This window comes from Homo sapiens, chromosome 7 (genome assembly GCF_000001405.40).
Source record: "Homo sapiens chromosome 7, GRCh38.p14 Primary Assembly".
Lineage (NCBI taxonomy): Eukaryota > Metazoa > Chordata > Mammalia > Primates > Hominidae > Homo > Homo sapiens.
Genome location: NC_000007.14, coordinates 41,110,914 through 41,136,330, shown reverse-complemented (window position 1 = coordinate 41,136,330; position 25,417 = coordinate 41,110,914). Strand labels below are relative to the sequence as shown.

General features: G+C 40.6%; 2 long non-coding RNA genes across 2 annotated transcripts in view, besides 5 other annotated features; one reads left to right on the top strand and one right to left on the bottom strand.

Moving 5' to 3' along the window:
- LOC105375241 (uncharacterized) overlaps positions 1 to 25,417 on the top strand; it is a 40,928-nt gene that overhangs the window by 13,465 nt on the left and 2,046 nt on the right. The window contains exons 2-3 of the long non-coding RNA XR_927190.1: positions 7,319 to 7,437; positions 21,222 to 21,396. This is a non-coding gene — a long non-coding RNA (uncharacterized LOC105375241). The remainder of the gene's footprint in view (positions 1 to 7,318; positions 7,438 to 21,221; positions 21,397 to 25,417) is intronic.
- Positions 549 to 1,050: an enhancer, noted in NCBI's record as "H3K4me1 hESC enhancer chr7:41174879-41175380 (GRCh37/hg19 assembly coordinates)". NCBI's record gives its function as "activates a minimal SCP1, AML or CMV promoter by ChIP-STARR-seq in naive H9 embryonic stem cells {active_cell/tissue: H9 hESC(naive)}" and the evidence as "EXISTENCE:reporter gene assay evidence [ECO:0000049][PMID:30033119]".
- Positions 1,800 to 1,849: an enhancer, noted in NCBI's record as "active region_25898". NCBI's record gives its function as "activates an Ori minimal core promoter by ATAC-STARR-seq in GM12878 lymphoblastoid cells {active_cell/tissue: GM12878}" and the evidence as "EXISTENCE:reporter gene assay evidence [ECO:0000049][PMID:35858748]".
- Positions 1,910 to 1,989: an enhancer, noted in NCBI's record as "active region_25897". NCBI's record gives its function as "activates an Ori minimal core promoter by ATAC-STARR-seq in GM12878 lymphoblastoid cells {active_cell/tissue: GM12878}" and the evidence as "EXISTENCE:reporter gene assay evidence [ECO:0000049][PMID:35858748]".
- Positions 2,210 to 2,349: an enhancer, noted in NCBI's record as "active region_25896". NCBI's record gives its function as "activates an Ori minimal core promoter by ATAC-STARR-seq in GM12878 lymphoblastoid cells {active_cell/tissue: GM12878}" and the evidence as "EXISTENCE:reporter gene assay evidence [ECO:0000049][PMID:35858748]".
- Positions 2,830 to 25,417, bottom strand: part of LINC01449 (long intergenic non-protein coding RNA 1449) — a 31,898-nt gene continuing 9,310 nt past the window's right edge. The window contains exons 3-6 of the long non-coding RNA NR_110832.1: positions 23,768 to 23,887; positions 17,048 to 17,364; positions 5,482 to 5,659; positions 2,830 to 3,107 (exon numbers count right to left, since the gene is read on the bottom strand). This is a non-coding gene — a long non-coding RNA (long intergenic non-protein coding RNA 1449). The remainder of the gene's footprint in view (positions 3,108 to 5,481; positions 5,660 to 17,047; positions 17,365 to 23,767; positions 23,888 to 25,417) is intronic.
- Positions 4,145 to 4,224: a silencer, noted in NCBI's record as "silent region_18119". NCBI's record gives its function as "represses an Ori minimal core promoter by ATAC-STARR-seq in GM12878 lymphoblastoid cells {active_cell/tissue: GM12878}" and the evidence as "EXISTENCE:reporter gene assay evidence [ECO:0000049][PMID:35858748]".

Below are 25,417 nucleotides of genomic sequence, written 5' to 3'. Positions count from 1 at the left end.
CTTTTCTCTTCGGGTGTCCTCCACTCGTCGGGATGATCTTCTTGTGGGAAGGAGATACCCACCGCAGGTCTCCTCTCCCAAGAACTGTTCTGCTGCTCAATAAAGCTCCACTCTCCCTTGCTCGCCCTCCAGTTGTCCAAGTACCTAATTCTTCCTGGGCACAGGACAAGAACTCAGGATCTGCCGAATGGCAGGACAAAAAGAGCTGTAACACCAACAGGGCTGAGACATGCTCCCCTCCCTGCTCTTTGCTACTTGCGAGAGACAAGGAGAAGGGGAGAAGAGCTGTAAGACAAACAGGGCTGAAACAGCACCCCGCCACAACTTGCCACTTTATGGGTGACTAAGAGGAGAGAAGAGCTGCGGCCCTTTGGGGATCCCAGACCTAGGGCCTCCCTGAGCCAGGGCTGTCACGCCCTCTTTGAAGTTCCTGGTGTCTCCAACCTTTTGGGTGCCAATGCCTTCCCCTCCTCCAGACGCGGGTGCCTGCAGCATAAGCCACGTGCCTTACATATGGTCCAGCTGCAGCCTTGCATGGAGCCAGCACCTGTGCCAGGGCCTGGAGCTGCCTGCTCCACTACAGCAGCTGATGTGCCTGGCTGCGTGCAGAGGCTGGACCCTGTGCTTGCTTGTCCACACACCCCTCACCACTCTGCACCTGGCTGGCCCTTGGCAGGTGTGGGATCTGGGTCAGCAGCGCAAGCTGAGCACAGCCTACCAGGCGGAGTGGGCAGACCAAGCCCAGCAGGCATGAGCAATATTCAGGCAGAAGGTGCTGCTGGCCACAGAGGTTTCTGGCTGGTGAAGTGACACCCTAAGGATCCTGTGACACTGGGATTACACGCATGAGCCACTGCACCAGGCCAACATTTGATATTTAAATGCACCTTCTTGAAAATGCATAAACTTCAACTGATTAATAAAAATTAATTAATATAAAGCTTATGGGCACCATTTTGGGACTGGATAAAAACATTTTCCAACAGAAAAAAGATAAACATGTTCATTAACTACCAATTCTCTCAGTAAAAATGTTCCCACACAGAATCTCTGTTACTAATGTATTCCTTTGGTTCAAAGCAGAGGTGTTTTAAGGTAATATGTTGATCCTTGAAGGACTAGTTACTCATGAGAGCTAAGGAAAATATACTGTGTCTTTGTTACTGACAAACAGGCTAAAGTCAGGGAACTCTTCAATACAACTAATTAACACTGTTTTGATTCCACCTACAAATGTCACTGGCATAACATTTGTAGTCATCTTAAGAAAATGTAGTCATTCCAGGCATGGAAAAACAAAATAAAGTACTTGTGAAATAAACAGCCAAGTAATTCAATAAGATAAACTTTTTGAAAACACTTTTGCTGGAAAAAAAAAACCCTCAAAATTTTACATAGGATGTGGTGATAATTTTAAATGATTACTAAGTTAATTAAATTTGAAAGACTTTTATGGGGTCATCTAATTGAACTCCTCTTCAACCACAGAACTACCTAAGATAATTTCCTGTCATTCTGCTAAATGTCTTTGAGACCAGAGATTTTGTAGTTTTCTTCAATAAATCAGCATGATGTCACTGAGTCATGCCTTCACTTTACAGAGTAACAGTTGATCTGCACCACCGAGGTTGGAACTGGTCTACTCCCTCCCTGCTGCAGAAAATAGCAGGGAGGAGGAGAATGGGCTACAAGAATGAGAAGGAAAGGTGTGGCTATTCCCTGCAGAAAAGGCTGACTTTTACTTGAGCCGGGGAAGTTTATTACTTAAGAGAGTTAAGAGCATGCTTGGCATTTGTCAGAGACGACTAGATCTGATTTAAATACATGAGCACTGCTACCCACAGCTACTACTACCCACTGTCATTGGGGGAAGTGGTTACACACCCATGCCTTGTATGTGTAACTTCATGAAATTACTGTTACTTGCAAAACTGCTATTTGGATCAGTGGGGCTTTCCTGATAGCTTGAAATGCTTCCTGCCAGGGATCTTGGTTGCATTTGCATGACTGTGACCTTCAAATGTCCCAAGACAGCACTGATATTCTATGGCAGTAGTTCTTCATCTTTTGTGGAGTATAGTTTCCTTGAGAAAATGAGAAGCACCATGGAAATATGTACATAATTCACATGAGGTTGTACACACAGTTACAGGAAGTGTGGAGTCCCCTCGATGCCCGTCAGTGAATGCCCGAGTCACCTCTGGCCACTGACATTAGAGAAAGTAGTAAGTACAGCAGGCCTAAAGCAAGGCCTCAGATTTTCTTTTTCTTTTTCTATTTTTTCTTTCTCTCTTTTCCTCATGTAAGAAACAGCACCACCAGGAGCAGGGACTTTCGCATATACAGTAAAAATGTACAGTATCTTCAATGCAAAGTTGGACGCGTGCCAACCCCCTCCCCCTCCCCACTCAGAAGCATCTTCATTTGAATTTAAAGGGGTGGATGAGTGACAGCAAGACTCTGTTCTCCTTCTGACAGGGCTTTGGCAGATCATTGGTTGTCATCAAACCTATTCCATTTCTTGCTCCCTGCCAGGAATTCCACCTACATGCCTGATGGCAATTAGTCCCTTGTAGGTGCTAATGAATAAAACGCAGCACGTAGACTTCACGAGGATGAAAAAGCCCACGATCCAGATCCAGAGAGTCACTCCAAGAATCAGTCCCCCACCCCGGCCCCCCCTCCAATATAGCTCTCACTCTGTCCAGCCAAATGCTAGAGCCAGCCAGCCACCCCCCGCCCCCACCCCCTTCTTCTGTGCACTTGGCCATGGAAAATAGAAAGCAGCTATTTGATGAGGACACAACTAAGCAGAAATCAAGATTTTAGAGCACGAAGTATTACTTGTTTTTCAATTTCTGTCACAGGCTGGGATGATACCAGTTTAGGACAGTCTGTGTCAGAGCATTTGAGCTGAATCTCCAAACCCAAACATGCTTTGGAAGAAGCATTTAGAGACCTTGTTGGGAAGCATTCTGCACTGAGTGGGGGGGTGCGCGTTGTATTATCAGTGGTTCCCAAGACTTGCTGATAATCAGATGTTCCTAAGCGGCCTTTAAAAGTTCAGATTCTTCGACCTTGTCTCTGGATATTCTTGGTCAGAAGGCCTGGAATAGAACCCGAAAATCTAAATTTTAGAACAATCTCCCCAGATGCATCTGATGCTCACACTAGATTCAGTACTTCTGAATTGGCTAAGCTCTTGTGTCCCATTCATCTCCAGCACTAGGTGTTGATTGAAAAGTTCTCAAAGGTTGTGCTCACCATTCATTTGCACCTTGACTGTGCTCTGAACATTGAAAAAAAAAAAACCAAAAAATTCTCCTTTGTAATCTGACCACCTATCAGAGGTGAATTAATATTCAAAGATTCTTTTGAAATTGAAGCTGTAGGTGATTTTTAAATTTTTCTTACACTTTTATTATAATTTTCAAATGTTACACCTTTACTGAATAATAAGCAGGGTTTTTCTAATAATAAAAAGGCAGCAAATGTAATTTTTAAAGATCTTTTTGCATTTCAACAGAAACTGATTGGCTCACAGAGAAAACTGTATTTCAGTATAATTCAGTTTCTTTAAATCCTATATGTTTTTAGTACAGGCACTGAAAAAATGTTACTAGGAAAAGGGTTCCTGGAACTCACCAGACTTTCCCATTGACAGTCCAAAGAGTAAAAGGGATTAAGAACCCCTGGTATGCCAAAAATTAGCTTATTATTCCTATTTTGCATGTATACAAGTATTGTCACCCTAGGATTTCAAAATACATCACAAAACAATTGCAGCTAAAGCCTTGGAGTGACCTGTGCTTGCAGCATGGTCTCTTCTAATGGTAGCAAACCAAAGAAAGTGGTAAGAAAGAAATTTTTTCTTCCAGTTTTCATGGGCCCCAAAGGTTAAGATAGCTTAAATAAGACTCCCCAGAGCATTCAAACTCCCTCATGTTTATCAGAAAGAGAACTTAATCCAAAACCTTTGAGGTTTGTCCTTCTCTAGTCAATATCTATTTCGGCAAAACAATCATGGTTCTAAAGTATAACAGTGAAGCAAGGAAGAAAGGAGAGATTTTTCTTTCTGATAGTGAAATGGGCAGGTGCAGTTGAGACGGAAAGGCCATAATTAACACATTGTTCAGCCAAGGCACTGTAGACGTCCATGCAAGACTGCACAAATCCTCCCCCTGCCCCACACGCCTGAGTTCAAGGTTTTGCAAGAAAGGAAGCCAAAGGTGCCCTGCCATTCAAGAAACAGACCCCTAGAGCCTGAACTTCAGTACCCTCGAGGTACACACAGAGGAAATTCTACACTGCCAAGCCAGTAAAATTGGATTGTGTAAAAACTCGTGCATTTTAAACCACATAAGAAAGAAAAGGAAAACACTTTTTAATTGGACATATAGTTATGTGGCAAGACTTATACATGTATTGGAGTTTTAAAAATCTAATCAGATAAATATTGTTATTTCTATGATATAGATGAGAAATTAAGCCTGGAAAGTTATGTAATTTATCCAATGTCAGACTCTCAATTACTTTATTTTTAACTGGCTGAATCCTAGGACAAACATTGACTACCTTTATCTATGATCATATTAAAGCATTGTAGACTAAGAAAGGTGGCTAGCACAGGGTTGGAAAATTCCTCGAACTTCCTCTCATCCCATACTTGTGGCAGACCTCATAAATTTGAAGTCTGTGCTATTTCTTTCCCGGCCCAGAAAGCTGCTCAGTGGAACATTTCAGGAAATCACTACAAATCAGCTATAGCCAGCACATAGGTGGCACCTGGAGTCCAGGGCAGCCAGGTTCAGGGGACAGGATGGGACTGGAGAGGGAGCAGGTAGAGCTGGTTGATAGGAGCTGCCCTCCCCCCCAGCCCCTTAGCCTCTTCCCCAGGCTCTATGGAAGGAAAATTCTATAGAAACTCCTTATACCTCTTAAAATATCACCTAAATCATTGACAAAAATACTATTCTCTGGTAATAGTTTATTGTGTTCACTACCCTATAGAATCACTCACAGGCTCTGGATTGGAAAGAAATAGATTGCTTTAACACAAAGGATTTAATCTTTGTGGAAGAAATGACTTTCTCCTTGACTAGAGGTTAAGGCAGATTTCTTTCTTTCTTTTTATTTATTATTTTTATTTTTTTTAAATTTGGTAGAGCTTTCCCACATCCCTTTGTGGGTAGCTGCCTCCTCTGCATATGCGTAAACCAGCTGTCCTTGGGAATGACACAGGCCCCCACGGTGTCATGGGGTAAGACAGGTGGGAGGTGTCTGAGAACCTTGCACAGCTATGGTAGGTGGGGCTACTAGCAGTTGTGGGCCAGGCAGTGCTTTGCCAGGGTTCAAAGCCAGGAGGCCAAGGCCTTTGACCTGGACTGCCATCTTTCAGGATGCGGGCCAAGCACTGCGGAGGCCCAATATAGGCAGGGAGTCAATCAGGATAACTTAAGAGGGGAAAAAAAAAGACTCTGCCTTTGCTCGAGTTCTCCAGATTGGCTCTCCAGATGGCCCTCTTTTCTCTGGTAAATTATGCAACAAGCTGCTTCAGCCGAGTTTTGCAGACCTGGATGATCTTGAACTGATTTCAACAAACGGGCGGACTCGTGGGGTTGCAGGGCTTTCTCCTAGTCCTTTCATCCAAGGAAGAATACTGCGGAAAGAAAAACCAGATCATTCCTGGTACCAGTCATAGAAACAGAGCAATGCACATACAAAAGTGATCATTGCTTTATGCTTGTCTTTTTAAAAGAAATGGTTTTGGAGAAGCTAACAGGCTGTCATGTCAAGAAAGGTTAGAGTTCATCACTGTTACTCCACAAAGAGGAATTCAGCCTTGCTTATCCTCACTAATTAAATGCCAGAATCACACTAGTTCATTCTGTGCTGGAATGGAAAAAGTAGAAGGGTTGCTTTTCAGCGTAAAGAGGTATGAGGGTCTCACTCTCTGCTGCTATTAACATTTCCTGGAACCAAAATCAATAGTGCATGCAAATGAGTCCCTTATTATTTCTTTGATTTGCAGAATGTCTCCTCCCACTGCACCCTGGTGGCTGAGGCAGAATGGATTAGCTCATCGGGCCCTGGGAGTGCTCTCAGTGCTGAGGAACACAGGGTGAGGGTGGGCAGTGGGTGGCAGGGCCACTCTGTGCCTTCCCACCCCCCGCAGCAGGATCACAGTCCCGATGCGGCTTCTTCCTGTCCCCATGGAAAGCAGAGGCTTTGGAGCCAGATTTGCCACTGAGGAGGGAGGAAGGCAAAGTGGGAACAGCAGGCAGAGTCAATAGGCCAGGGGGCAGGGGGAGCAGATGGGTAGGTGGTGGCTGAGCTCAAAGCTACAACATGAAGGGAACAACTCGTTATGAAGTGCAATTTGGGAACTAAGAGGAGGAAGGAAACAAATAGAAGTTTCTGAGGCAAAATTATTTCTTGAGCTGATGAAGGTATGCAAAAACCATTTGCAATGTACCCAACCACTGGTTCAACACAAGCTTATTAAGTGCCTTTCAGACCCTGCACCATGTGTTGGAATGCAAATAGGAACAAGATATGGTCCCTGCTCGTAGTCTCAAGCAGTGAGAGCTTTTAAAAACAATAAAATATAATGTGATAAACAGCCAAATAGAGAAACACTGGGTGCTAGGGGACACAGCGGGGGGACTGACACAGAGGGTGGAGCTGAGGAGAAGCTCAGTGTACAAGGAGGTTCTGTGTGGGATCAGCAGGAGGCTGACTAGGGTTTCTTAGGTGGCAAGAAAGAGAAGGTATTGCTGGTAAAGGGATCTGCAAGGGCAGTGGCATGGAGTAGGGGTGGAAGAGCCCGCTCGTGTATGTCACAGTGGTACTTCTAAGACAGCCATACTGACTGAGAACAGGCTACAGGGATGGAAGGTGGTCATTTACTCCTGGATATGGAAAGAGGCTGGCATGGGATTACAGGAACCTTACATGTCATGCCAAGAACTTTGGGTTTTCCTTTGGAAAGTAGAGCACATTTGAAGGAGTTGATAAGAGGAAGTAATAAGATTAACAGAGAGAAAGAGAAAGAGGTTGGGAAAGGATCAGTGACTGTTTGAATCCTGATTCCCCAAACCAAAGATGCCTCAGCTTTCCTTCCAGCATAAAGCCCCCAACTATCTATTACAGCAGGGCCTGGTCCATTTGGCAACTCCAACTATAATTCACAGCCATTTTGATTATTGATTATGCCTCTGAGAAGAGAACCACTGTAACCTAACAGTGAAGAAAATGCTAGTGTGATTAAGTAATGTGTATTCATTCACTTATTCAAACATTATCTGTTGTTCTCTAGGAAGACACTCTACAAGTCAAGCTGGCACTGGTTAAATTATAAGATACACTACAATCTCGTTCCCTGACCTCTTGAAGGTTTTGTTGATAAAGGAAAAACGTAAACATACAAGTAAACACGTAAGTAGAAATCATGTTGCGTCAAACAAAGGAAAAGACCAGAAAACCAAAATAGAAAATAACAGGGTAGAGGGAAGGAATCAAGTTTGTGTGATATGTGAGGAGGAGTTTCATGAAACGGGTAAGGTCTGTAGGAGGCCGGGGAGAAGAATGTGGCACAGAATGAGTGAGATGATGTTGGAGAAACTGTCAGAGGCCAAAGTATACATGGTCTTGTAGGCAGGTTAAGAGGGGAGTCTGTTATTCTATATTGAACTGAAAGCCATTGAACAGCATGATTTGAGTTTTTTTATCATCACTCTGGCAACTGTGTGAATGAATAAGAGGAAGGAAAGATGAGAGGTGGAGAAGCCAGCTAGAGGGCAGCAGCTAGGGGAAGAGATGATAATACCTTAGAATACAGCCATTCATGAAAAGGAGAAGAGCAGGTGAATATGACCACTTCTGAGGAGACAACAAAACAGCAACTAGAAAGCACTCTGTTTAAAATAGAAGAAATTAGAGGAAATTGAATCTGTGGAGTTACTAATTAGGTGACGAAATTTCTGAGAAGCCCACAGGGGAAAATTAGGTAACCTGGAGATTAAACAACACCTTCTCACCTGGTCCCACTGGCAGAGAATGATGAAGGCTGGAGGGACCTTCATTCATCCTCCAGGCTTCTTGGCTGGAGGGACCAGGTGAGAAGATGTCATCACTGGAGTTTGCAGCCAGAAGTCTCCTGATTGAAAGCTGGAGTTAAGAAGACACCACCTCAAACGACTAGAGAAAGAAGGGCCCTGTTCTCTCCTTTCCTCCTGCTCCATTATCCTGTTGATGCCTCCCATGGATGGAACACAACCAGAAACCAGCTGACATGGGCACCTGGGAGCACAGCTTCCAGGGCTAAATCCCCTATATTATAGAAGAGAGAAGAGAAAAGATCAAGAATGGATCTGAGTATCCAGGGCTGGTGTAATATACTATCTGTATTTTAAGGGAGACTTGACATGACTTGGTGATGTGTGAGATATGGGAAGATAAGCAAGGAAGAAATTTCAAGAATGATCACAAGGCTTCTGACTTGAGCACTTCTGTACAGAGTGGGGTGGCATGGACAGGACAGGGAAGGCATGGGGCCGAAGGAGACTTGGTGAGAAGAAGGATAGAAATTCAGTTTGGGAGATGTTAAGTGTGAGATGTTCATTAGATGTGAATTCAAGAAGCTATTTGAATCTGGCATTTAATTTGCAGATCTTGAGTTCAAAACAGAAGAAGTCAACCCTTTTGGTTTGGAATTTGTCAAAATTAGGCTGTATTTACAGCCATGAGAATTGGTGAGTAAATCAAGAAAGAGAATTTAGAATAAAAAGGCTTAAGACTTTTCCCTGATGAAGACCAACACTTAGAGGACAGACAAATGAGGAGGAATTGAGGAAATGTGGAAGCCCATCTTACCAACACAAATAAACACACAAACAAAACCTACCACTCTTTTTGTTTGTTTGTTTTGTTTTCTTTTTTTTTTTTGAGACGGAGTCAGTCTTGCCCTGTCACCCTGGCTGGAGTGCAATGGCACGATCTTGGCTCACTGCAACCTCTGCCTCCTGAGTTCAAGCAATTTTCCTGCCTCAGCCTCCCAAGTAGCTGGGACTACAGGCATGTGCCACCATGCCCAGCTAATTTTTGTATTTTTAGTAGAGACGAGGTTTCACTGTGTTAGCCAGGATGGTCTCGATCTCCTGACCTCATGATCCACCCGCCTCAGCCTCCCAAAGTGCTGGGATTACAGGAGTGAGCCACCGCGCCTGGCAAGACCTACCACTCTTGACTGACAGCAGTTTACCTTCCAGCTACCACCTATATTTCTGCTCCCCCTTTTCAGCAAAACCTCTTGATTCAGTTGTCTTTATTCATACTCCTCAATTCCTCTTACTCACATTCTATCCTGAGCCCCTCTGCCTAGGCCTTCAACACAGCTACTTACATCAAAGTCATTAATGACTTTCACATTTCTAAATATAATAGTTAATTCTCAATTGATCCTACTTGACCCATCAGTTGGCTGACTGCTTCACTTAAGAGGATGGAAGGAGGAGCTATTAATAATTATGCAGAGACAACAGATTGAAGCCTGTCCTGGGCAAACTAAGAACTGTAGTCTCTCTATCAGCATCAGGAGACACAGGTTTTTACCCCCTGCTCTTTAAAGAGTTTATCTTATTTGACTTTCAAGGCACCACATCTAGTTTTCTTCCTCGTTCAATGTCAGTTGTTTGCGGTCTTCTGTGATGTTCTTCTCATCAGCTAGACAACTACACTTTGGAGTACCCCAGGGCTCAGACATTTTCTTGTCTTCAAAACCCAATTTCTTGGTGATCTAATCCAGTATGATGACTTGCGAATCCATCCATATGCTGGTTTTTCTCAAATGTATCTCTCTTTATTGAAATGCTACCCAAACTCAAATATTTCATTACGCAAGTATACCATCCCTACAACCAAAACTCTGATTACCCTTCCCAAACCTGTTTTGTCATCTTTCCCATTTAAATTAATACAGCTCCATTCTTTTTAAAAAAATTCATGTCGAAAAGCTTAGAGTCATTTTAACTTCTTTCTCTCTTCTTTTTTTCACACCCACATCTAATCCATCAACAAATACCATCATCTGTACCTCCATGTATCTCCAGAATTCAATTTCTTTTAAACACATCCACCACAAGTACCCTGGTTCAATGACCAGACAATCATAGCCACCTCCCTGTTTCTATCCTTGTCCCCAGGCAATCTCTTCCCAATTCAAAAGCCAGCATGATTCTGTGAGATGTGTTGGATCTTGTCACTTATCAGCTTAAAATTGTTCATATGATTCCAATCTCACTTGGAATACACAGTCAAAGTCCTAATATTCCCTACTAGGCCCCTAATTTCCCTTCTCACTGCCCAGACCTCATCCACTGGCCTTGCCTTCTCCATCTTCTTCAGACACAGGCCTCCCTTATTGGGCATCTGTCCCAGCTATTCCCTCCTGGAAAAATCTCTCACCACTTATCCCTGAGGGTGGCCCTCCATCTTTATTGCTCACATGTCACCTCAGTGAGAACTTCTCTAATCTCCCTTTTTAAAATTGAACGCCTTCATGCCTCTTGATACCTCGTAGTTTTACTTTTCTCCTTAACATTTATCATTATCTCACATACTATGCATTTTAGGTATTTATTTTACTGTTTGTCTCCCCATGCAGGAATGCCGGCTCTATGGGGTTAGAGATTTTGTCAGTGTTGTTTACTACCATATCCCAGCTCTTGGAACTGTACCCAACGCAGTGTACAAACTCAATGAATGTTTGTTGAGTCAATGGTGAATAAGATGGGTGGGTCATAAAAGAAGAAAGGAACCCAAGAGAGGATTGTGTTACAAAAGCCAAGAGAAGGGAATGTTTCAACAAGAGAAGAGTGATAAACATTGGTGCCAGTGCTGTTGAGACAGCTCCTGAGATGGGATTTGGCATCATGGAGTTTTCTGACTATCTTGGGAAAGAAAAGGCTCAATGAAGAGGTGGAGGAAGAACACAGACTGGAGAGAGATATAGACTGGAAGGAGTGAAGACTGAATGGGAGGACATTAAGGGGTCACTACAGCATGGGTAGCCAAGAAGCTTGGCAGTGACAGACAGAGGAGGGAGAGAGGACTGAAGCTGAAACGAGTCAGTGTCATCATCAATACTCAGCCAAGCTTCAAAACAAAGATGTTTCTTTGATTCTTCATCACTCAACCTTACCATCCAATCATAAAATTCTCACAATTGAATCTCACAATTGAAAGACTTCTCAATCCCACTCCTTATTTCTATTGTCACAGTTCAGTCTTTTAATTTATTACTAGTACAGTCCTGTGTTGCTTAACGAGATGTGGATATATTCTGAGAAATGCATCATTAGACAATTTCATTACGCGAACATCACAGAGTGTACTTAACACAAACCTAGACTGTATAGCCTACTACACACTTAGGCTATATAGTATAGCCTACTGCTCTTAGGCTACAGCATATTCCTATATGAATTCTGTAGGCAATTGTAACACAATGGAAAGTATTTTTGTATCTAAATATTACAAAGAACAGTAAAACTATGGTATAAAACATTTTTTAAAATAGTGCACCATATAGGGCACTTACCATGAATGGGGCGTGCAGGACTGGAAGCTGCTCTGGGGAGTCAATGACTGAGTGGAGAGTGAATGTGTAGGTCTAGGGCATTACTGTACATTACTGCAGACTATAAACACTGTGCACTTAAGCTACACTAAATTTATATTGAAAACTGTCTTCAATAATAAGTTAACCTTATGTACTGCAACGTTTTAACTTTATGAATTTTTAATTTTTTTATTTTTTGACTCTTTTATGGTAGTTTAAAACATCAGCACATTGTACAGCTGTACAAAATATTTTCTTTCTGCATATCCTTATTCTATAAGCTTTTTTCTATTTTTAAATATTTTATTTTATATTTTAACATGTTTAACTTTTTTGTTAAAAACTAAGACACAAGCACACACAGTAGCTTAGGTCCACACAGGGTCAGGATCACCAATATCACTGTCTTTAACCTTCACATCTTGTCCCACTGGGAGGTCTTCAGGGTTGCTAACACACATGGAGTTCTCATCTCCTGTGACAAAAAAATGCCGTAACCCTAACCCTAACCCACCTAAAGGATCTTCCTGAGACTGTTTTATGGTTAACTTTTTTTAATAAGTAGGAGTACACTCCAAAATAATGGTTAAAAGTGTAGTAAATACATAAACCAGTAACACTGTCATTTATTATCGTCCTCCAGTATTATGTACTGTACATAATTGAATGTGCTAGATTTTTATACAATTGGCAGTGCAGTAGGTTTGTTCATACCAGCATCATCACATGAATAATGTGTTGTGCTACGATGTTACAATGGGTTATGACATCACGAGGTGATAGAAATTTTTCAACTCCATTATAATCTTATGGGACCACCATCGTATATGTGGTCCATTGACCAAAATTTCATTATATGGGACACGACTATATACCAATAGCTTCCTTATCATCAGTAAACAGTCTGGCCTCTGGTTCACTGCATTTTTGGAGTTCCCTGCAGGAGAAGGACATAGGCTATGATCACAAGATTAAGAGAGGTAAGGGCAGAAAAGAAACTGATAAAAATAGCAGGGGTACTCTTCCAGCCGCTACTGTTGCACCAAAACCAAGTCCAAAAAGGTATACCAAACTTAGGATACCCTTAGCAAAATCAATAATCAGTGGATAATGGGTGTAGGAAAAGTTGGGCGTGGCAACCAGATTTCCAGGCAGCAGCTATTCTCAGCACCTGGTGATTCTGTAAACTAGGGAAGGGGATTCAAGTTAAGATGTGAGAATACTGGTTCAAGGTCTATGCCCAGATCAAAGGAAACTGACAGGAGTAAGCAGGAGAGCTGTGGTTCTTAGCCGATGGGCTGAAGCAATGACATGGGTACCAAAGACTGGAATGAAGAGATTGAATGGATGGACACCTAGAACCTGAGCGAGATTCCTGGAACAAGTGGGTCATGTGGGATGAAGGTAGGCAGGGCAACTAGACTTTTAGGTTCCCAGGAGTCCAGGACTCCAGGATCAGGACACCAAGATTTTTTTTTTTTTAGACCTCATTTTCTGGAGGCAAAGAGGCTATTCCTACATAACTTGGTCTGGTTTTTATTGAAGTTGGCTCTGAGATGGGGAAACAAACAAACAAACAAACAAACAAGCAGGCTATAAATGACCCAAACAGGTCTTCATGCCTTCATTCTCTCCATTAGTTCCATTTCCTCCTCCTCAGGGTCACTAGAGTTATCTTCCTGGGGTACATTCTGATCACACCACTTTTGTGACTTAAATTACTTGGTCATTTTCCATTGTCTACGAGATAAAGCCACACCCATAGCACAGTAAACGAGGCATTTCACAACCTGAGTCTAATTTAGCTTGCAAACCATGATGTTCCTCCTACTCTCTCCAGTCTCAATCCATGCAAACAAGGGCTGCTGCTCTCCTTTTGAACTCCTCAGGCTTATCTAATGCCATTGTTGCTGCAATCCTCCTGCAGCAATGCTTCCTCTTCTACTTTCTCTATTGGAAGAATTCCTATTCGTATGTGAACGTCCTTTTTATCATCAGCATCTTCCCCAGCCACAGAATGCCATTAATCATTTGGCTTTGTTCTTTTTCATTTTAGTTATTTGTTACTATTTAAAAAGAGTGTATTTACAATCTATCCTGTTTCAAAACAGGTTTGGATCTCATAAACAGTTATAAACAGCACAGTAATATAAATATTAGGATTTTGAGGAAAAAAAGAATAAAGAAAAACAGCCCCAGGGACAGAAAATGGAACCAAGAATGTGTCTGATCCAATCAAGCATACCAAGGAGTCCTGTACAGTTGCTAAAACTGGGCCACAAATTGAGCATTAGGCTTTCCCACAGCCAAGATGAGGAGAGAAATGTGGGTAGTCACACAATTTCTTTTGCCCATAATATAAACACCAAATAATTGGTCAGTGGATGCATAGCTATTCTTCACACTTACACTAAAAGAGAATTTTTTTCCCCAAGGTTTACTCATGAAGAATAAACTGCATAATGCAACAGAAAACACTCTCCACAAACATCTCTATGGGAGAAACAGCTGTTAGTATCCTAAGGCATGCCTTCAGGATTTATGACATATCAACAAAGCACAATCAGTCAAACCAATTCTACAGAGGAGACTGCTACAGATTATATAATTCTCAGTTCCCCTGACTTTGTTTAAAAGGGCAATATTTTTGGACTAAGATATCTGAAAATCTCTCCAGCTTCCTTACCTCCCTAAATTTAACACACATTTTTGCATACATTTTTTATTTTTGGTGTTCATAACCCTTTTAAAACCCTTGGGCCTCACAATTTAAGGATCTCTAGGGAAATAGACTAACTATCCTTAGGAAATCCTTTATACGTGTTGCTTTGCTAATACACAGATAATTTGTGTTTCCAGTGGAATCAGAAGCAAATCCCTTAATATGCCATCCTGTTGCTAGTTACGGAGGAGATGGGTGAGAATGGCATCTCCCAAAGAAAAACTGAGTCACCTATCAATGACACATAACTAAATAAAAGATCATCATACCCTAACTGGGAAGTCAGACAAAGAGAACTTATAGGCAGAATAAAAATTACCCTTATAAAATAATTTTTGAAAGCTCTCTAAAACATAAAAATGAGCCATTGAGGTCCAATTTTCTTCAATTTGTATGATCAAAATAATTTGTCTTACAAATTTTACAGGTGAGTGAAAGGGTTTCCCAGCTTAACCATAAAACAGCCTCAATAAAGCCCATATGATGCCTAGCTTTGATCAGGAGATAATTCTTGTGTGTGCTTGAGAATTATGCCAAGCTAAATAAATGAAGTAGCTTGCTGAATGAGATTGCCAATGATGTGTCAGGCAAACATTAAGGAACTTTCATTTTAGGTGATATTATCTGGCAATAATTAGATACAGCCAGTGCCCATGATTCCCTGCTCTTAAACACTGATCTAGGAATGGTCCAGATGTTGATTTGCAGGTAGGCATAGTGGTGCAGCCAATAACCTCTTGACATTCCTTCTGGTGCTAAGATGCTCTGCTTCTCTCAACAAGCCTGAGTATTAATGAAGAACAACATCAAAAGCCACAAATTAGAAGCAAATTTCTTAATACTTAAGATAATCGTTCAGCGTTTGGCTGTAGCATTTTAAAGCTTTCAAAATGTGATGACCTGGGTAAAGATTTCAATAAAAACAACAGTTCAATATCATTTTGAACTCAGGTGTTTATAAATATAACACATTATGATGCCCTGGTTCCATTTTTTTAAAACCCATTTTTTAAAAAAATCATTAAAATCCATTAAGAGTATCTTTGTATTAGAAGAGAACTGGGCACAGTGGCTCACGCCCGTAATCCCAGCACTTTGGGAGGCTGAGGCAGGTGGATCACTTGAGATCAGGAGTTCGAGACCAGCCTGGCCAACATGGTGAAACCCCATCTCTACAAAAAAATACAAAAAATTAGCTGGGCGTGGTGACGTGTGGCTGTAATCCTGGCTACTCTGGAGGCTGAGGTGGGAGAATCACTTGAACCCGGGATGCGGAGGTTGCAGTGGGCCGAGATCGCACCACTACACTCCAGCCTGGGTGACAGAGCCAGACTCCATCTCAAAAGAAAAAAAAAAAAAAAACATAACTGGCTGGCCACATGTAGGAGAATGAAACTGGATCCTCAGCTCTCTCCTTATACAAACTTGAACTCAAGGCAGATTAAAGACTTAAACCTAAGATGTGAAACTATAAAAATTCTAGAAGTTAACATTGGAAAAACCCTTCTAGACATTGGCTTAGGCAAGGATTTCATGACCAAGAACCAAAAAGCAAATGCAATAAAAACAAGGATAAATAGCTGGGACCTAATTAAACTAAAGAACTTTTGCATGGCAAAGGGAACAGTCAGCAGGGTAAACAGACAACACACAGAGTGGGAGAAAATCTTCACAATCTATACATCTGACAAAATACTAATATCCAGAATCTACAATGAACTCAAAGAAATCAGTAAGAAAAGAACAAACAATCCCAACCAAAAGTGGGCTAAGGACATGAATAGACAATTCTCAAAAGAAGATATACAAATGGCCAACAAATATATGAAAAAATACTCAACATCACTAATGATCAGGGAAATGTAAATCAAAACCACAATACAATGCCACCTTACTCCTGCAAGATTGACCATAATCAAAATATCAAAAAAAAGTAGATGTTTGTGTGGACGTGGTGAACAGGGAACACTTTTACAGTGCTGGTGGGAATGTAAACTAGTACAGCCACTATGGAAAACAGTGTGGAGATTCCTTAAAGAACTAAAAGTAGAACTACTATTTGATCCAACAATCCCACTACTGGGTATCTACCCAGAGGAAAAGAAGTCATTCTTCAAAAAAGATACTTGCACACGCATATTTACCACAATTCACAATTGCAAAATCGTGGAACCAACCAAAATGCCCATCAATCAACAAGTGAATAAAGAAACTTTAGTACACATATACAATGGAATACTACACAGCCATAAAAAGGAATAAATTAACAGCATTTTCAGTGACCTGGATGAGATTAGAGACTAATATTCTAAGTGAAGTAACTCAGGAATGGAAAACCAAACATCGTATGTCCTCACTGATATGTGGGAGGTGCACTATGAGGACACAAAGGCATAAGAATGACACAATGGACTTTTGGGACTTTGGGGGAAGAGTGGGAGGGGGCGAGGGATAAAAGACTACAAATATGGTGCAGTTTATACTGCTCAGGGAATGGGTGCATCAAAATCTCACAAATCACCACTAAAGAACTTACTCATGTAACCAAATACCACCTGTACTCCAATAACTTATGGACAAATTTTAAAAAATTTAAAAATTAAAAATAAATAAATAATTATGAAAGTAGGCAATACACTAAGTTGCATATAAAATATCATAAAAGATAGTGATATGGTTTGGCTGTGTCCCCACCCAAATCTCACCTTGAATTGTAGTTCCCGTAATTCCTACATGTTGTGGAAGGGACCCGGTGGGAGGTCATTGAATCACAGGGGCAGTTACCTCCATGTTGTTCTCATGATAGTGAGTGAGTTCTCACGAGATCTGATGATTTTATAAGGGGCTCTTCCCCATTTTGCTCATTCTTCTCCTTTCTGCCACCATGTGAAGAAGGATGTTTGCTTCACCTTTTGCCACAACTGTAAGTTTCCTCGGGCCTCCTTCACCTTTTGCCATAATTGTAAGTTTCCTGGGGCCTCCCCAGCCAGGCTGAACTGTGAGTCGATTAAACCTTTTTCCTCTATAAACAAAAACAAAAACAAAAACAGACAAAAAAGAGATGGATTTTTTAAAAACAATAGTTCTCAACTGGGGCACGATTTTACTTTACCATCCAGGGGACATTTACCAATCCCACATCTGGAAACTTTTTTTTTGTAGAGATAGGGGTCTTGGCCACGTTACACAGGGTGGTCTTAAACTCCTGGCCCCAGCCTCCCAAATCGCTGGGATTACAGGCATGAGCTACTGCACTCAGCCAAAGCGACATTTTTTATTGCTGCCACTAGAGAAGGGAGTGCTGCTGGCATCTAGTGAGTGGAGGGCAGAGATGCTGCTAGTATAAAGTTACCATGGTTTAGTTTATTTTAAAGACAGCCTCAAAAGAAGCCCTGAACTAACACAGTATGAAGGCAGAGCTGCTCTCTGATGCAGAGATGGGGGCAAGGTGAAGTCAGATGCCCAAGTCCAGCTGACTGGAGCTCGTAGTGGCCCCTGAGGTGTCTCTGCCAAAAACTGCACTCCACAGAGCTCAGTGAGGAAAACCTGATGTAGTGCACATAAAATGTGGCTTTAAATCCTTTAGATCTACATTATAATCCCCTGCATTGACTGCCTACTAATTTCATCAATTTGGGTAAGTGATTTACTCTCACCAAGCCTTAATTTCCTCCTCTGAAAAGAGGGAACAATCATGCTCACTTCACAGGGTCATTGTGGTGCTAATAAAATGTAAAACTCCAAAACCAGCACCTAAGACACGGTGCTTAGTATTTGTTAATTAATTTATTTATCATTTGTTTATTTTTTTGAGATGAGTCTCACATTGTCGCCTGGGCTGGAGTGCAACGGCACGATCTCGGCTCACTGCAACCTCCGTCTCCGGGGTTCAAGTGATTCTCCTGCCTCAGCCTCCTAAGTAGCTGGGATTACAGGCCCACACCACCACACCCAGCTAATTTTTTGTATTTTTAGTAAAGACAGGGTTTCACTATGTTGGCCAGACTGGTCTCGAACTCCTGACCTCGTGATCCACCAGCCTCGGCCTCCCAAAGGGTGTTAATTTATTTTAAAATAAATTCTTGTCATCCTATGAATGTCAGAGTTGGCCCCAGTAATACTGACTGAAAGATCTTTAGTGTTTGAGGCTTATGACTATATATTGATTCATTAACACATTTAAACTATTATGAAAGACTTCATAGCAACATTATAAAAAGAAAAGGAAGACATTTCAAAATCCAGTATTTGCAGGACTAGTCACTTACCAAAACAACCCATGCATTTAATTAGCAATGATCTATAGCTTGTTTCTACAAAACATAGATGTGATTTATTATTGTACCGTAGGCATGCAGAGTAAGAATGCAAAGTTTATAGCAAGAGTAAGATATTAGACATCTATTGTTTTGCTTGCCTAGACTAGCATACAAGCTTCTGCTGGGAAATCCTTCCTCTATTTTAACTTTGGGGTTTACGTGGGAGCTTCTCTTGGTTTATAAATCCTTCCCCTTGACTACTATTTATGGTCACTGGGAAAAGATACCTATTCCAAACTGGAAAGGCATTGGTGTCACCCTCTAGCCTTTCCCTACAACCATTCATCAGTGATTGGAACAGGTATGAACTCCTGATCCAAAATGTACCAGCAGATCCCTTTCCTGGGATTTTTGAGCTTGGGATCAGAGGGAGAAAAAACAAGTCTTTGGTCTCTCTGGTGGTGAAATTGGAACATATAACCCAGCAGGTGGGTTTCCTGCAATCTGAAAAAATGAAACAGGAAGGAGAGATGTGGGCATGTGTGTATATTGTAGTGGAGGCTGAGGGTAGGGAAGAGAGACTCCTCTGTCCCAGGTACAGGGCTAAGGCCTGGCCATACATTCAGCAGAATCCCCCTCCTACCCTTTCGTTTCCCAACATATAGTTATGTGAGTCAAGAAATTCTTCCTTTGTGCTAACCTAGCTCTGTTTGGATTTCTACCACCTAAAACCATAAAAGTCTTGACTAATTCAAGTGGGTTGCAATAGTTGGAAAAAAATGCTGTGTCTCTGCAGGTGTCTAGCTGGAGGCTAATTATAGTGAGGGCTAAAAGAGTAAGACATTAGTCAGAAGAGCTGTAGTTCAAATCTAGACCACCAGCATTACAAGTTAGTTGTGGAAACTTAAAAAAGTTAATTAACTAAATAATCTATTTAAGTTTTAGGTTCTTCATCTGTGATTCAGTCAGGGTCCAGTTAGGAAACTGAAATCACTCAGGTTATTTTAATGGAGAGAATTTCATATAAAGAACTGTTAATTATGTATAGAAGAACTGAGAGAGTGAAAGGAGGATTCTAAGGTATCATGGAGGGCACAACCGCAAGAAAGAGCCACCACCCATAGGGCTGGGGAATTAAGGAAAGAAGCTGGAACTTTCAACCCTTAGAAGCTTGGAGAGGTAGCTCTGTGGTGTGGGAATCCAGGCCTACAAGAAGGCCCAGTGTATTGCTGGTGTCTCTGAGAAGAATTTCGTAAGCCTGATTCTGAGTTGGAAAAACTGCTAGCTAGATTCAGCTGCTGCTCCAGAAAGGCAACCTCACTGCTAGAGTGAAGAAGCATTGGAGCAAGAATCAGACAGGAACGAGCAAGTCCTTCTCCCTGCTCCAGCTCTACAGTCTCCCCCAGTCCTTGCACTGGCAGAGTCTAATATGGTACCCTCCGACCAGGCAGAAAAGTGGTTTTCAGAATCCCAGGCTCACTTTCCCAAAGCTGATAGCAGAAGGGTGAATTTGAAACTGAAAGACAACAGCTCGATAATTGGCACAATGTTTAAGGATAATGAAACATGCTTCACCAGGATTCGGGGAATGTAATTGACATAAGTCTAAAACCGTTACCTGAAAAGAAGCAATCATGAACATAATGTCCTCTCTTCTGATAAAATAAATAAATAAATAAATAAATAAATATTGGTCTCATAAGGTTGCTGGAGAAAATAGTAAGAGTGTCTAGGTGTTGCTCCTCACTGAGGAAGTAGAGATGAAACAAAATCAACTTCCTGAGCACTAGTATTTTCTTCCTAGTTATTCCCTGCAAATCAGATTTCTCTTCTCTTTCATCATTTGCTTTCTTAGAATGTCTTTATTATCAGCTTTTATCTATCCTTCAAAACCCAATACATATTATTTTCCCTCTGGGAGCATTTTTCTGAATGTTCTAGCCCAAAATGATTCTTCTGTCCTCTTAGCTCTTCGTATATTTACTATGCTTTTCTTTCTTTTTTCCAAATAATGGTGAAATGTAATATGCCTAGGGTTCATAGATGAGCCTGGATCTCTCAGAATTAGAGAAACTTTTCAGATCCCTAATTCAGTTATGTGAAGGAATCAGTAAGAAAAAAATGATGGCTGAGCAGAAGGGCCAGCCATACAGTCTGCATCACAGTGGGATTAGGAAGTAAAGCTGAAGTAGCACACTCTCACGGATACCCAGCCCCCTGTCCACCTCCAAGCTCAGGGATAGGACAGTAATAAACTATCTTCCATTTCTAACTGTTTGTGAGGAACCTAAGAATATCCTGCTTATCTAAATTTGTATTAGTTCTAAAATTGAGCCTGTTTATGTCTGAATGAGGCTATGCTTGGCTATCGTTATGGGCTGCCGGGGATTGACTAAATTTGACATTGCTTAGATTAAACAATGCTTTGTATCCTCATGGGTCTCTACCTAGTTCTTTGATGAGTGAGTGTGCAGAAGAATTATATTCATTCTTTCCTGTGAAGATGTGCCTTCCCTACAGACTGAGACGGGCACTTTTCCAATCTTTTACCAGCTCTGTCCCAGGATTGCTCTTAGAGTTTTCTCTGGATCCAAATCTGAGACATTATCTCATTGTACAGAATTTCCACAATTCACAATGGGCCATCATCAGTGAAGACCATGGTGGAACCCAGAAACTATATGGGTGAGCAAAACGTTCTACAGATGAACACTGCATTCTTCCTGGAATAAACCCTTCTCATTTAAAGATTTCCTGTGACAGGTGATAACAATCTTCTCCAATTACTTGTAAAAGTAAGTTGACAGTACAAAATTTCTTTTGAAGGCACTCTATTAAGTACATTTCAAACAATGTTTACTGTCAAGCCAGGAATTCATGCCAGACAGGTAAAATCACTTTCCTTTATAAACCTATTATTAGCATCAGATAGACAATCGGGTCTGCAGAAAGAGTTTTCATTAACATTCACACATTACCAAGGGTCAAATATTTCATCTTTTGGTCCTTTCATATATAATCCCAATGAAAAATATAGGTATTATTTATTACTCTGTATACGAAGTCCTATGCTAATTGGTTTATACATGTATTTGACACTGAGATAAAATACTTACCTTGGGTGGAATCCATGGCCTTTGCTAATTTTTAGGCCATGTTCTTTATGCAAATGTGCTTACTTTATTAGTTTTGCTAGAAATGCTTACTGAATGTGATGATTTCCTCTTGGTTCCTTGCTTTCTCCTTTCTAGGCAAGCAATAAGTAGTGAAATGAGGAAAGATGGTTTCAAAACATACAAAACCTGTTCCTTGTGTAGATACAGCTTAAAGAATATAAACAGATGGATTTCTCCCACAGGACAGGTCATCATACCATCGGGGGAAAATGAGTTGGCTGCTGCTGAGTTAAGAAGCAATGAAGTCATTGCTATGCACATAATTAAAATGTGATATTTCAAGAGGAGTGAATCCAAGGAGGAGAAAAGAAAAATTACAGATAATACATACTGTGGTTGTGGCTTTGAATTAATATGTGCCTGGGTGCAGAAGAAGCAATGCAAACAAATGTCAGCCATCAAAAATAGGCAAAATGACAATACATTTAACTCGTAACTTTATCCCCCTGCCCCCACCACACATGCTTAAGGGTAATAGTATTCATTTTTGCTAAGCTCATTTGAACTATGTAAGTGTTGTTAGCAGACTGGATTTAGAATATATAGAACAGCTTGATGCACCCATTCCAATGTCTAACAGAAGTCCTGGTCAGTGTTTAACAAGACAAGTCAATTGAAAAGACCTGGGCTGTGTCATGCCCCTGGCAATGATGCAGTGATGCTTTTGTATCTACATCTGAATTACTAATTGGATCAATTCAGGAGAGAAGCTCTTCTTGTGGCTGTTAATCAGCTTACATAGGTATGCTCCTTTCTAGGCAGATTTAGGCCTAGATAAAGATGGGAACACTACAGGATTTTGAACAATAGCCCTTGTCCCTTACTTTTCAGGAAACTGCCTAGTAAGGAAAAAACAGCAGATACACAAGCAACTGTTATCTTGGGTAAAAGAGATTCTTTTTTCTTGGGACCATATCAGTTTTGTGTTTACAGATCTTCTAAGGCTATATCTATATGATGACAGGCTTTCTGGTGAAAGCTGAGAAATTCAGTTGCAAATATGAATGCTACAAAATGTGTGGCTATTTGGCAACAGGAAGATCAAACATCTGGATCTTTGACTCAGTTTTTCCATTTTCACCCAATATTTTCATATCGTGAAAAACACCAATTAAAAAAAGCAGCCAATCTGGTGTTTTGGCTTTCTTACCAGCCAATTTGTATCTCAGAATGGTTGGTCCAATTGATTGTGCTGCTTTAGATGGCCAAAATGAACAGATCAAGATAAAAATAGTTGGTTAGGTGGCTGTTCTGATCTGGTTCAACCAATATGGTGGAATTTTAAACTCTAACTGGTACATGCTTTACAAACACAAGTAATTTCTAACGTCTCAGAATTCAGCAATCTATGATTGGAGGTAGATAACTGTCACGTCTTCCCATTTCTCCAGATAAAGAAATGGACATATATAAGGTGATCTGCTTTGGAAAACACAGCAAGCTGGTGTTTTTTCTCTACTAGAACTTGAGGGTTTCTTCCTCAGTGGGGATTTGAGCTAGCAAAGTGAGACCAAACTACATGAGTATGCCCAGAAACAGAGTGGCTGGCTCAGCTTACTTTTGAGGGTCTATGGAAAAGGAATACTGCAAGACTACAGAGAAAAAAAAAAAAAAAGTAAGAGAAATCTTACTGAAATTTTGTTTTATTGTGTCCTACATTAAGACTTCCAAATATTCTGATTTTGGAGAACAGCCTACATTTGGGCAGGGCGGGGGCTATGAACCAATGTTAGTAAACTAAATGCATTTCATTTCAGAAAATGAAAGGGCGTATGTATTAGGATTGAAAATATTGAGGTTATGATACAATTTTTGTACAATTGCACTTGAGTAGTAGATCTAATATTAAGTGGTAGAAGTTCTATTCAGGGAATAGATAGATTTTTGGTAATATTTGAGTAATCAGGAACTGTTTTTTTAAAAAGTGCAGTTATATATCTAAGTACATCACCTTTGCATAAGATATGCCACTTTTTCCAATAAAGATTACCTAGATCTTTGAATACAAGTATAAACATTTTTGTAGGCCTGTATCTAGAATTCCATATGATGATGATTCTATAGCTGCCTTCAAGGATGGCATTTTTTTCCTCTGGCAAGGAATCTGATGCTATGGAAAGATTAAAAAAGAAAAAAAAATACTAAGTCAAAGAATAAAATTGAAATAATATTTAAGGAAAATTATTTTCTTTCCATGTATTTTTAAATTTTGCAGCTTTCAAAATAACCCAGCATACAGTACCCCTCAGATTGACTGACTCATCCCCATGTCCACACACTTTCTTTAAAAACAGAAAAATCATTTCTGAAAATGATCAAAACATAACATTTTGCTGGAACAGATGCCTTGCCTGCGCTCTGTGCCACATTTTTGTAGTATTTAAAATGAACGTTTCAGTTTTAAACATGGAGTGACTAATCGCCAATGGGGAGGAAAGAAGGTCCTGTGGGAGTCAAAGCCAGGGTCTTCCTCTACCCCATTCGTGAGAAACACTGGAGCTTAGAATTCGTGCACACCAAACACTTCTCCTGGGGCTGTCCTTCTCAAGATCATTTTTCAACGAGAAATGTTTTTGAGTATTTGACTATTGAGTTCAAGGAAGGGAGTAATTTTAAATATCTGAGACTGATATGCACTTTTTAATGATCTATTTGTTATTTAATTTTTGCATCTTTTTTTATATCCCTTGCTTTCTTTTAAGTACCATCTGCATTTTAACTTTTCAGGATACATTCTAAACCCCAATTTAGTACTGTATAGTACAATTTAGTATCCCAGATTTATATCTGTTGTTCCAGCATTAAGTATTAGCTGTGGTCCCTTTCTCTCTTAAAACTGGATCTTTTATAAAAGTAAAAAGTAGAACCGAAGATACTACAGGCTGGGAAAGAGAGGGGGAAGGAGGTCATAGAAAGAGATTTGTTGAAGGATACAAAATTATAGCTAGATAGGAGGAATAAGATCTAGCATGTGATGACACTGTAAGATGAATAGTTAACAATAGTATATTATATCATTTCAAAGAGCTAGAAGGAGGATATTGAATGTTCCCAAAACAAAAAAAAAATGTTTGAGATGATAATCTGATCTATACATTATGTGTATCAGAACACCACTGTGTACCCCGTAAGTATGCACAATTATGATGTGCAATTTTTTTAAATTGGCCTGATTTGGAAGGTAAATTATGTGGAAACCCTAACTGTAACAATCCTCTCTCCAAGAAAAAATACACAGGATTTAATTTTTCTCATGTTACATTTTTTACATCAATGGATTTAATGATGAAAGGGTTAAAATCAGGTGACACTTTAAGTCACATAGACATCTCCAAATTTCTACAAGTCTAAAAGAATGGCTGTGATGTGTACTTTTCAGCAGGGTATCTATCACTGTGCCTTTGCACTCTAATATTCTGCCAATCATCACTATACAGATCGGTAACTCGCCCAGGAGATGACCTCTGTCCCTCACTTCCAGCTCTGTGTCCATGCCTCTGAAACCTGGACGATCATCTGGGGAAAACATTTTCCACAATGAAGATCTTATACGTCACTGCAGCATACTAGGATCATATAAACATCCTAATAATAATAAATAATAATAATAAGTATTAGTCATTGTCAGGTCATATACAGT